Below are 12,825 nucleotides of genomic sequence, written 5' to 3'. Positions count from 1 at the left end.
ATTATTTCATGAAGTTGATAAAATGTAATCAGCTGAGGATATTGGGAAATAATGGGTGATTAGACATTTAGTGAGAGAAGAGAAGATTTGTGTATGTTTGGGATCCCACAGACCATCCCCATGTTAGGTGCTTTACTAGGAGGACTGATGGGACAAGCATGTAATGATACTCATAGATTAATGTTTATTACAGTGAAAAGCTACAAAGCAAAATCAACAAAGGGAAAAGGCTAATGGAGCAAAGCCGGAGGAAACCAAGCACATACTTCCAAGGATCCTCTCCCATTGGAATCATACAGGATGTGTTTAATCCCCTCAGTAATGAATTTTAATGTATAGTGTGAAGTATTGTCTGCCAGAGAAACTCATTGCCCTACAGTTTTGAATAGCTAGAAGGACGATGTTGAACATTACCAACACAAATAAATGATAAACGTTTGAGATGATGGATATTGTAATTACCCTGATCTGATCACCATACGTCTTATGTATTGAAACATCACTGTGTACTCCATGAATATGTATAATTATTTGTCAATTAAAAACCCTGGGCACTGAGTTTATTTTTTTATTGGTGGCTAGTCACGTAGGAACCCTCTGCCTAGCCTCTGCCTAGCACATACTGAAATTCAACAAGGTTGAAGATTCAACAAGGTATTAAGTAATTTGGTCATAATCATATTGCTTTCCATTGAATTCTAAAATCAAAATTCTAACTTTGTTAAAACTTTACTTGTGAAGAGAATTATCAGGGTAAGAGGTATTTTAATTGAATTATTAATATTAATTGAATTATTATCATTCCTTCTGGACTTCCAGAAGGATAGTAGATTTTCAGCATAAATTATATTATTTGCAGAAATAGTTCAGGTACAGTGAGCCATTCTTACCAGTTAGGATTGTGAGAACACTCCCAAAATCTAAGTTCCCAGATGCCAGCCATAGACCAACCTTGCAAATAGGCCTTGCTAAGAAATAGCAGTCTCAGGTCTGTGATGTAACTCTTTTCCGCACAATACGAAACAGTACTTTTGGAGCATTGGAGAGAGACCATCCTAGGAGAGAGTATTGAGATTGTCAGGAATGTGTGTTCATGTAAAATGTGTGATGATGACTTTTATCAGCAAGCATTGATGTAGTTTGGAAGTTTTTCCCCACCAAATCTCATGTTGAAATGTGACCCCCAATGTTGAAGGTGGGGTCTAGTGGGAGATATTTGGGTTATGGAGACAGATTTTCATGAATGGCTTGGTGTCCTTCCTGTGGTTAATGTGTGAGTTCTCACTGTGTTTGTTCTCCCAATATCTGATTGTTAAAAAGAGCCTGATACCTCCCCACTCCCCATTGCTCCCGCTCTTGCCACGTGACATGCCAGCTTCTTTTCTCCATCTAAAACCGCAATTACTTTTGCATCAACCTAATACTATGAATGAAAGCTTCTTGAAGCCCTCACCATAAACAGATGCTGGTGCCATGCTTTTTTGTACAGCTTGCAGAACTGTGAGCCAAAATAAATCTCTTTGTAAATTACCCAGCCATTCAGATATTCCTTTATAGCAGTTCAAAATGGACTAATACACTAATACAGAAAATTGGTACCGGGAGTGGAATGTTGCTATAAAGATAACTGAAAATGTGGAAGTGGCTTTGGAACTGGATAACGTACGGAGGTTGGAAGAGTTTGGAGGGCTAAGAAGATGATAGGAAGACAGGGCAAGTTTGGAACTTACTAAAGACTGATTAAGTGGCTCTGATAAAAATGCTGATAGAAGAATGGACAACAAAGCCCAAGCTGACGAGGAATTTACTGGGAACTCTGGAGCAAAGTTCACCCTTGTTACACCTTAGCAAAGAACTTGACTGCATTGTGTCCATGTTCTAGGACTTTGTGAAAGGCTGATCTTAAGAGTGATGACCTAGACTAACTGGCAGAAGAAATTTCTAAGCACCAAAGCATTCGAGAATGATATGACTGCTTCTAACAGCCTGTGATCAAATATGGGAGCAAATGAATGACTTAAAGTTGGAGCTTATAATAAAAAGGGAAACAGCATAAAATTTTGGAAAAATCTCAGTCTGGTGCAGTAGTAAAGAAGGAAGAAGTGTTTTCAGGAGAGGAATCCAAGGGGGCTGTGGAGCAACCACTTGCTAGAGAGAGTAGCATGATGAAAAGGTAGGTAAGTGCCGATATTAAGACAGTGGGAAAAAGGCCCTGAAGGCATTTCAGAAATCTTCCAGGCTGTCCTTCCCATTATAGGCTCAGAGGCTTAGGAGGACAGAATGGTTTCAAGGGGCCAGGCCTAGGGCTTCAACTGCCTTGTGCCGACTCAGGATGCTGTTCTTCTCTCTGACTCCAGCTGGATTAATAAAAGCATGATTGTGATTTTTTTTTTCTTTACCTATATCCAAGTACTCAGGAGTAGGCAGAGTTACAGTTTTAACTAGGGTTTGCTGACATAATTTGAATTGTTCAGAAATGAGGTGGCTCCTTTTTTTACACTAGCGTGAGACAGAGAAACAGGTGGAGATTTTGTGGATTTTATTCTCATTCGATAATCCCATGGTAAACCCTAAATGATCCTCTTTCTAGTGACAGGACCATCTAGGACTCACAGAGGATACAATTTGTATGGAATAACCTGTCAAGATAAGCAGAGTATCAGATACTGACAGTCCTTCATTGTGACCTCTTATGGGACGCCATTACCTGGCTTGGTTTTGGCCTAGTAATTTCCTGGCTAGATGGATGGAATTTGGGTCTGTTATTTCAGGGGCATATGGATAGAACCAATAATGTAAATTTTTGTTTGCTTTTCATAGGCAATTTGTGGTTATTAAATAATTACGTAAGATGTAAAGTCCTCAGAAGAAGTGGTGCTTAACTTGATATATGCATCCAAATAACTTAGTGGCTTTTTCAAAAAATATATGATTGCTACTCACTTCTAGAGATTATGACTCAGTTAACTCAGGATGGAAGTCAGTGTATGTGAGTTTTTAAAATGCTTCCCTGTTAATTCCAATGTGTTCTTCTGATTAAGAATCATAGTTCCAGACCATTTAATGTTAGCTTAGTCCTTTTATAAGTTTTGGACTCTCCATTAATGAAACTGTGTAGATAGTTTGTATTGCTACCTGTTTTGCACAAGAAACAAGAATTTTGTCAGGTGGGGTGTGTGTCTGGCTGGGTAGACTGGAGAACGTTGGACCATGTTTCTCTATCCAGAGGTATGTACCAGAGAATGCTTTGATCCAGAACAAAGGGGATTATTTTTTTTTTTTTGTGAGATGGGGTCTCACTCTGTCACCCAGTGACAGATTGCAGTGGCACAACCTTGGGTAACTGCAGCCTTCTCCTCCTGGAATCAAGCGATCTTCCCACCTCAGCCTCCTGAGTAGCTGTGATGACAGACGTGTACCATCATGCCCGGCTAATTTTTTCTATTTTGGGTAGAGACAGGGTTTTGCCATGTTGCCCAGGCTGGTCTCGAAGTCCTGAGCTCAAGTGATCCACCCACCTTGGCCTCCCAACATGCTGGGATTACAGATGTAATTAATCCTGGCCTAGAACAAAGTGGATTTCTAACAGTTAGGGGAACTTGGGTTTCCAGCAAGAGAAAAATGCAATCAAATGTTGCTCTGAAGTTTGGGCTTAGGGACCAACTTAGTATTTCTTTAGGAATCATAGATTAAGAAAATGTGTACATTCTCTCCAGTGCTATTAGTATTAAGGTTAGGCCCTCTCCTGGGGATGGTGGTGGGTAGAATACTTGATAATCACCTGCTGGGCCTCAGATTTAAAGCTTACGGACTTACATGTGGTTCACTGGAAAACCAACCAGTATTTATAACATAATCTTTGAGATAATGTATTCCAAATTCCAAAGTAGTTATTTGTAACTAAATTTCTAGATTATGACTAGTTCATAAGTTGTGAATTGCTTTAAGTTCAGCTTTTCATTTCAAGGAGAATAAAATATAAAAAATTAAATCATTACTTTTTAGGAAATGCAAATTCTTATATTTTTAGTTATAAAATATCAAAATATCCTATTTAATACTCATCAAACCATACCATCATGACATTTGATGTGTCAAGACAAAGCATTAATAGAAGATAGTTTATGGTTTATTCATTAGTTATTTAAAACAATCTAGTAAAGCACTTAATTAAAAAGTATATATATTTTTTGAGATATAGTCTGTGTTGCCCAGACTGGAGTGCAGTGGTGTGATCTTGTCTCACTGCAGCCCACTCCACCTCTTGGGTTCAAGCAGTTCTTGTGCCCCAGCCTCCCGAGTGCTGGGATTACAGTCATGCGCCACCATGCCCAGCTAATTTGGGCAAAATCCCGGCCAACATGGCAAAATCCCATCTCAAACTCCTGGCCTCAAGTGAACTGCCTGCCCTGGCCTCCCAAAGTGCTGAGATTACAGGCGTGAGCCACCATGCCTGGCCTAATAAAGCATTAACAAAAAATTTAGATGCAAGGGTACATATGCTTATTTATTACATGGATATTACATGCATAATGGTGGGGGGTTGGGCTTCCGTACTCATCACCCAAATACTGGGCATTGTATCCATTGGTAATTTTTCCACCCTCCGTACTTCTGTCCTCTTTCCTTTGGAGTCTCGAGTTTTTTTCCTCCATTTTTATCTCCATATGTACCCTTTGTTTAGCTCCCACTTATAAAGCATTTTGAAAATAAATATAATTATAGCATAAACATTTTCATTACAAATAGAATCTTCCTACCTGGTTTTCATTTGCTTTTTCTATTTTTAGGTGGAGAGAGTAGTAAATGATTATGATAAAATTTTATAAACTATTAGTAAATATTATCATAGTATTTTCATAGGATATGAAGAGTAAGCCTGCCATTTTTTTGGTGGGTCAATACTTTTCACTCATTTATATTTCTCTCGTTTATGTGTATATAGAAAGCTTATATAAAACTTTCTGTAGCATTTAATAGCAACAGATTTATAAATGTTTGCTTACAAAAATATGTACAAAAAGTACAAATGAGACTATATGTACTTTTCCAGGAACATACTGTTGTATCAATATGTGTATTTTAAGTCATGGTCCTTAGAGTAGTGATGTTCTGCCACTAAAATAGAATAATAGAAATCTTTAATTTTTAGGAAAGATTAAGTCAATGGGTAGAATTTTCTCAATTTAAAGTTTTTCATCCCATGAATTATAAAAAGTTATTTAAAAAATTGTGTTAAAATATATATAACATAAAATTTACTATTTTAAATCTTTTTTAAGTGTATAGTTCAGTGACATCAAGTACATACACATTGTTGTGCAACCATCCTGATCATCCATCTCAGAACATTTTGTGTTTTGCTAAACTGAAACTGTACTCATTAAAAATGACTTTACTCCCACTTTCCATACCTTGCCCTCTGGCTACTGTCATTCTACTTCTTGTCTATGAATTTGACTACTCTTAAGTACCTCATGAGTAGAATCATAACAGTATTTGTCCTTTTTTGACTAGCTTATTTCACTGGTTCTGCACTTGAATAAATGTAAGAACCACTAGCAAAGAGTAAGGTAGAGCTGTGCTTCTTTGCTGTTTGTGTTTTACCTGCTCCTAAGCAAACAGTATTACTGTTTTAAATACTTGAAAAATTATTTATCTGCATTTAAAAAATAACATATTAATCAAGATCTTAGATAACTGCCGGTAATACCAGAGAGCCTGTTGCTGCTGCAGTGTGTGCTAGAGGAATTCTGCTGTCTTTTTGACTTAGCTGCTATCACAGTCCTCACATCCCACATGTGTAACAGTAAACACTGGAAGTTATTTTATTTTCTATGCAGACATTTTAGAGTATTATATAAACAACCGCTTAATTAATTTTGGTTTAAACTCCTAGGAAGTGATGAAATCACATTTTAACAGGACTGAATAGGAACCATAAAATAATTTTTAGGTAATCTCTGTTCTCACCCTAAGAATATTAATTCTGCCATTCTAGGTAATGTTTACTCTAATTCACTTAAAATTTTTCTTTTCCCTTTTTTTTTTTTTTTTTTGAGACGGAGTTTTGCTTTTGTTGCCCAGGCTGGAGTGCAATGGCGCAATCTCGACTCACCACAACCTCTGCCTCCCGGGTTCAAGTGATTCTCCTGCCTCAGCTCCCAAGTAGCTGGGATTACAGGCATGTGTCACCACGCCCGGCTAATTTTGTATTTTTAGTAGAGACGGGGTTTCTCCATGTTGGTCAGGCTGGTCGCGAACTCCCGACCTCAAGTGATCCACCCGCCTCAGCCTCCCAAAGTGCTGGGATTACAGGCGTGAGCCAACATGCCTGGCTTCTCTTCCTTTTAATTATTAGAACTCTTTTTTCCTGATTGACTGCTCTGGTTTTACCCAGAGCCAGGTAGGTTTTCCCCTTCCCATTTTGTTATTAAGGGACATGTGCAGAGGTTCAGGACTCCTGAGTCTTTGGGCAGTGCTGATCTCACTCCTCTGCTCAGCCTCATGCTTTGTCTTAAAACTTAATTGTCTGAGTTGGAGCACTTGCAAAAGCTCTAACTCAGGCTAGTGGTTGGGAGGGTTCTCAGAGACTTAATTGCTGCCTGGTGCTCAGGGCCTCCAGGTCCCACTACCTCTGGCTCAGTACAGGCATGGGGAACCAGCCACAGGAGACTGACCAGCTGGAGACTGGCAAGCGTGGGGGCTCTGAGCTGCTTCCAGGGGCCCTGGGACAACTGCTTTTGAGGGCCTCATGTCTACTGGACCATGGGATCCAAGAGAAGAGCCCTTGCCTGAAATCACAGGACCTGGAATGGGGCTGGCAGTTGTACAGGTTGGAGAACTGGGCCTGGTAATCCCTTTAGGAGCTGTGCTCTGAGGAGCTTTGGAGTTTCCCTGGCATGTCTGGGGTGAGAGTGGGGGAAAAAAGTGACTCTGAGGGTTAGGGCAATGACCTACTCACACCCCACCTGGTTTTGTGTAAAACCAGAGCAGCCAATCACGAGAAAGCGTTCTAATGATTGATTAAAAGGACTGCCTTTTTCTTTCTTTAAACCACAGCAATAAAGGGTTTTGCTAGGCTAACTTTCTCAGTTTGGCTTGGCCTAGATTTTCACATGGCTCAGTATTCTCCACATTCACATGGGCCATGGTGTTTGTGGAAGTGAAGGATTGGAATTTGGGAGAATGTGGTGAGGAGAGAGACAGCTGACTTGGTGCAGTATCTGGGCTATGGAACAGGCACTGCATAACTGCTGATGGAGTCTTGGCTACCAGTAGCAGCCGGTCTATCCCAGAGAGGCAGAGGCCCTGAGAGGCAGTTCTGACCCCCTGAGCTGTTGTGCTGGGATCCCTGGCTTGGCATGCTTACCTTAGAAGAGAAGCAGGCTAAGAAACTGATCTCTGTCTCAGCTAAAACAATCCTTCTTGCATACTGCAGACGATCCCTATTAGGAAACAGAACTTCCAGAATGCAGTCCATTTGTAAGTTTTTATCATTCATTTATACCGGAGAGTCAATTAAGATCAGATTTTTTTTGTTAAAATATAAATTGGCAATTTTAGTTTTTAAAAGATCTACTAAAGCTCAGGAGATAATTTAGTGTAATAGTCTTCAAACTGTGGTATCTGTATCCTTGGTGCGTGAAGACTTTCCAAGGGATATGCGGATGCATATAGTTTTAAGGGAATCAATTTTCAGGTCTTTAGCTTTCCTAATTAGTCTTCTAAAATCCATCTGTTTGAGAACAGTCTGAACTCTGTGGATTTTCTTTCCACTCCCATTTCACAATGAACCATCTCCCATTTTTATAAAATAAAGGCATATTTCTCACCCATCTCATATGTTCCCATGGTACTGTCTTGTGTTGTGAAGATCTCTTAGGTGTAAAACAAAAGGGACTGTTTGAGAATGTGTTGCTCTTGAAAGAGGGCAAAAGAAAAAGAGCTTCTATAAAAAGTATTGAAGCAGGTATTTTATTTCACTAGCTTACAAACCAGTGGCAAAATTCTTATCCGTCTTCTTTCAGAGAACTCTGAAGCAAAATGGTTGATACCAGGCTATGTAATAACACATTCATTTGAATTAAAAATTAAAGTCAGACTTATTCTAATAGAAAATAAGTCTTTTTTTATACAAGGTTTTAATTCCATTTAGTACAGTACTTTGTATCTTTTTTTCTTTTTTTTGAGATGGAGTCTTGCTCTGTGGCCCAGGCTGGATTACAGTGGCACAATCTCGGTTCACTGCAACCTCCACCTCCCAGGTTCAAGTTATTCTCCTGCCTCAGCCTTCCAGGTAGCTGGGATTACAGGCACACACCACCACATCCGGCTAATTTTTTGTATTTTTATTAGAGATGGGGTTTCACCATGTTGGCCAGGCTGATCTTGAACTCCTAACCTCAAGTGATCTGCCCACCTTGGCTTCCCAAAGTGCTGGGATTACAAGTGTGAGCCACCGTTCCCGGCCTTAGTACAGTATGTTAAATTTTGTGTGTGTGTGAATCAAATTATTTTCAAGTCTGCAAAAAACTGTATCTCCACAAAGAGGCTTAAATTGCTGACAAATTTCTGGGGTGATAAGGCAGCATATTTAATTAAATAAAAGTAATGTCTCCAAATATAAAGCCTTCAGTTAAATATATCTTTTGGAATTACAAAGAATTAAACCACTTAATTTATAATATAAATTATATTACTTTAATATGTGAAGTAAGAAAATGATAGTTAAATATCTCAACTTTAATTTTCTGGTATGGTCAGACCTTTACAGATATTTCCATGCTATTTTAACTTTAGGATATAAAACAGTAGCAGTCTACTAAGTTTTCTATTATTAAAATTAGTATAGAAATTATCAAAATACTGAAAAAACTGTTTTATGAAAGCAGTACCTCCATCACTGTAACTTATTTCCTTTCTTTTAGAATACATCTTCAAAAGAGACCAGAATTTATTTAAAGATAGTAGTTTGAATTTTAAATTTCCAGTCAATTTTTCATTATCTCAAAATTGAGCTAATGAAGAGTTGATGGAGTTAGGAGAACACAGGTTTCCAACTAATGCCATCAAGGCAGCAGGATCCTCACATCCATGAAGACCAAAAGAAAGATGTAATGGAAGAGAGAACTACGGATCTGTCTTCCATCCTAATTTAACCTTCAGGAAATACCTTCTGCACAAAACACTTCATTAAATAAAAAAAATTACAAGACAGTAAGCTTAAAAAAAAAAAAGGCTAGGACCACAACTTGCCCAGTTAAGTCTGAATGGTGATGTTATTGGTTTTAAGCCTGAAGAAAAGAATGTAACTTCTGCTTCTCTAAAATCACATCTTCATATTGGGCTAATTTAAATTTAAATCACTTAATGCCTTAACAGTGCTAAAAATTCCAAGAATGTCAGACATACTGATATTCAAAATAAAGTACAAAAATAAGTCAAATATAAATATGTTTGCCTGTCATGCTCCTCTTTAATTTACCCTGATGAGCTAAAGTTGATTATAATTATAATAATATATGTTATTTCAAGTACTACTATTCTTTTTAAGAACTCATGACCTAGGACCCCAAAACGCAATTAGGGATATACAATTTGGAGTATGGTTTACTTCTCAGTAAAGTTTAATACTAATTGAAGTACTAAATTGAACAAGGTCAATATTTTGTAGTACTAATCCCAATAACTTGATCCCATGCAAGAAACAAAAGGGAATTTTAAAGGCTGTTTTGGAATCCCAGAACATTGGGGTTCTACCTTAACTTCCTAGTATTCCCTTCAAGTCTCAGTTGAGTGTTAGAGAACAAGTCTTACTTTTGTCATTTTGACAGTGAGGACTGGCTTTGCCAATTAGATTATGTTGTGGACATTTTCCATAAATTTTCATAAATTCCAGGTTTTGATAGAATTCTATTTAAAGCACATACGCAATCTGAAATAGGTTAGAAATTACACCATCTGCATCCATTTAAACCTATAATTAAACATTTGAGTTATAATTTAAAAGTGTTCAAGGCAGTACATTGCTTTTCAAAAGCTTTGTAGAGACAGTGTAACAACAACAGAAAAATTTCACAACCACTGCTGTAGTGTAGTGGAGAAAGCCTGGGCTCTAAAGTCAGTCTTAGTGGCCTAGTTTGAATCTTTTCTCTGGCAATATTGGCTTAGAAGTTAAGTTAAAAACTACTAAGGGTGGCTGGGTGCGGTGGCTCACGCCTGTAATCCCAGCACTTAGGAAGGCCGAGGTGGCTGGATCACGAGGTCAGGAGATTGAGACCATCCTGGCTAATATGGTGAAACCCCGTCTCTACTAAAAATACAAAAAATTAGCCGGGCGTCGTGGCGGGTGCCTGTAGTCCTAGCTACTCGGGAGGCTGAGGCAGGAGAATGATGTGAACCATGGAGGTGGAGCTTGCAGTGAGCCGAGATTGCGCCACTGCACTCCAGCCTGGGCGACAGAGTGAGACTGTCTGAAAAGAAACAAACAAACAAAAGTTTTATCCAGTATATCTATTCCTAGTTTTCTAAGAGATTTTAAATTTTTAGTAAAAACTGTTACAGAATTTTATCAATTGTTTGCATGCATTGAGAGGATCTTAATGATTTTTCAGTTTTTAAATTCCATTATGTGGTGATTAACATTGAAGTTTGAATATTAAATCAGTTTTAAATTCCTGGATTAAACTCATCTTGATTGTGATGGATAACGTATTTCTGGATTTGATTTACTAATGCTTTGATTAGGATATTTTTTGGATTATGTTTGCCAGAGAGATTAGTCTGTAGTCTTGTAATACTGTCCTTGTAAGTTTTAAGTATTAACATTATGCTGTCCTCATAAAAAAGGATGAGATGTAGTCCCTCAAATAATGGTGCCATTTCTACATTTAATATTGAGACGTTTGGAAAAATTTAGTGATAAATCCATCTCATTCTGGAGTTTTCTTGAAAGATTTTAAATTATGGATTCAATTTCTTTATTAGAGATAGGATTGTTTAAGTTCTCTGTTGGTCATTTGGCAAGTTGAGTTTTTCTAGGAATTTGCCCACTTTTAATTTTAAAGTTTATTGGCGTACATTTTTTCACAATGATTGTTTTTCTGTTTACTCTCTTAATGTCCATAATTGTACACATTTTTTCTTTTTCTTTTTTTTTTTTTTTTTAGTATTTATTGATCATTCTTGGGTGTTTCTCGGAGAGGGGGATTTGGCAGGGTCATAGGACAATAGTGGAGGGAAGGTTAGCAGATAAACATGTGAACAAGGGTCTCTGGTTTTCCTAGGCAGAGGACCCTGCGGCCTTCCGCAGTGTTTGTGTCCCTGGGTACTTGAGATTAGGGAGTGGTGATGACTCTTAACGAGCATGCTGCCTTCAAGCATCTGTTTAACAAAGCACATCTTGCACCACCCTTAATCCGTTTAACCCTGAGTGGACACAGCACATGTTTCAGAGAGCACAGGGTTGGGGGTAAGGTTATAGATTAACAGCATCCCAAGGCAGAAGAATTTTTCTTAGTATAGAACAAAATGGAGTCTCCTATGTCCACTTCTTTCTACACAGACACAGCAACAATCTGATCTCTCTTTCCTTTCCCCACATTTCCCCCCTTTCTATTAGACAAAACCGCCATCGTCATCATGGCCCGCTCTCAAGGAGCTGTTGGGCACACCTCCCAGACGGGGCGGCGGCTGGGCAGAGGCGCCCCGCACCTCCCGGACGGGGTGACTGCCGGGAGGGGGCTGCCCCCCACCTCCCGAACGGGGCGGCTGGCCGAGCGGGGGCTGCCCCCCGACCTCCCTCCCGGACGGGGCAGCTGCCAGGCGGAGACGCTCCTCACTTCCCAGACGGGGCGGCTGCTGGGCGGAGGGGCTCCTCACTTCTCAGACGGGGCGGCCGGGCAGAGACGCTCCTCACCTCCCAGACACGCTCCTCACCTCCCAGACGGGTTGGCAGTCGGGCAGAGACGCTCCTCAGATCCCAGACGGGGTCGCGGCCGGGCAGAGGCGCTCCTCACATCCCAGACGGGGCGGCGGGGCAGAGGCGCTCCCCACATCTCAGACGATGGGCGGCAGGGCAGAGACGCTCCTCACTTCCTAGACGTGATGGCGGCCGGGAAGAGGCGCTCCTCACTTCCCAGACTGGGCGGCCGGGCAGAGGGGCTCCTCACATCCCAGACGATGGGCAGCCAGGCAGAGACGCTCCTCACTTCCCAGAGGGGGTGGCGGCTGGGCAGAGGCTGCCATCTCGGCACTTTGGGAGGCCAAGGCAGGTGGCTGGGAGGTGGAGGTTGTAGCGAGCCGAGATCAGGCCACTGCACTCCAGCCTGGGCAACATTGAGCACTGAGTGAGCGAGACTCCGTCTGCAATCCCGGCACCTCGGGAGGCCCAGGCGGGCAGATCACTCGCGGTTAGGAGCTGGAGACCAGCCCGGCGAACATGGCGAAACCCCTTCTCCACCAAAAAATACAAAAACCAGTCAGGCGTGGCGGCGCGTGCCTGCAATCCCAGGCACTCGGCAGGCTGAGGCAGGAGAATCAGGCAGGGAGGTTGCAGTGAGCCGAGATGGCGGCAGTACAGTCCAGCCTCCGCTTGGCATCAGAGGGAGACCATGGAAAGTGGGAGACCGTGGGGAGGGGGAGAGGGGGAGGGGGAGGGGGAACATTTTTTCATTTCTAATATTGTTTATTTGTGTCATCTGTCTTTTTTTCCAGCACTCCTTTTAGAGGTTTATCAATCTTGTGAATTTTTGGTAATGTTGATTTTCTCTATTTAATAGTTGTTTTAATTTTATTAACATCTACTCTCATCTGTATTGTCTT

The 12,825-nt window shown here is 40.5% G+C and overlaps 1 protein-coding gene and 1 pseudogene across 24 annotated transcripts in view; one reads left to right on the top strand and one right to left on the bottom strand.

Moving 5' to 3' along the window:
- The window catches only part of CDC42BPA (CDC42 binding protein kinase alpha), a 328,635-nt gene that overhangs the window by 30,245 nt on the left and 285,565 nt on the right, over positions 1–12,825 (top strand). The gene's annotated exons all lie outside the window — the stretch shown is intronic.
- On the bottom strand, positions 8,725–9,803 carry LOC100271842 (phosphatidylinositol 4-kinase type 2 beta pseudogene; annotated as a pseudogene).

The sequence above is a fragment of the Homo sapiens genome, chromosome 1 (genome assembly GCF_000001405.40).
Source record: "Homo sapiens chromosome 1, GRCh38.p14 Primary Assembly".
Classification (NCBI taxonomy): Eukaryota; Metazoa; Chordata; class Mammalia; order Primates; family Hominidae; genus Homo; species Homo sapiens.
Note: the sequence above shows the minus strand (reverse complement) of the source record. Positions and strands in the feature narration are given on the sequence as shown.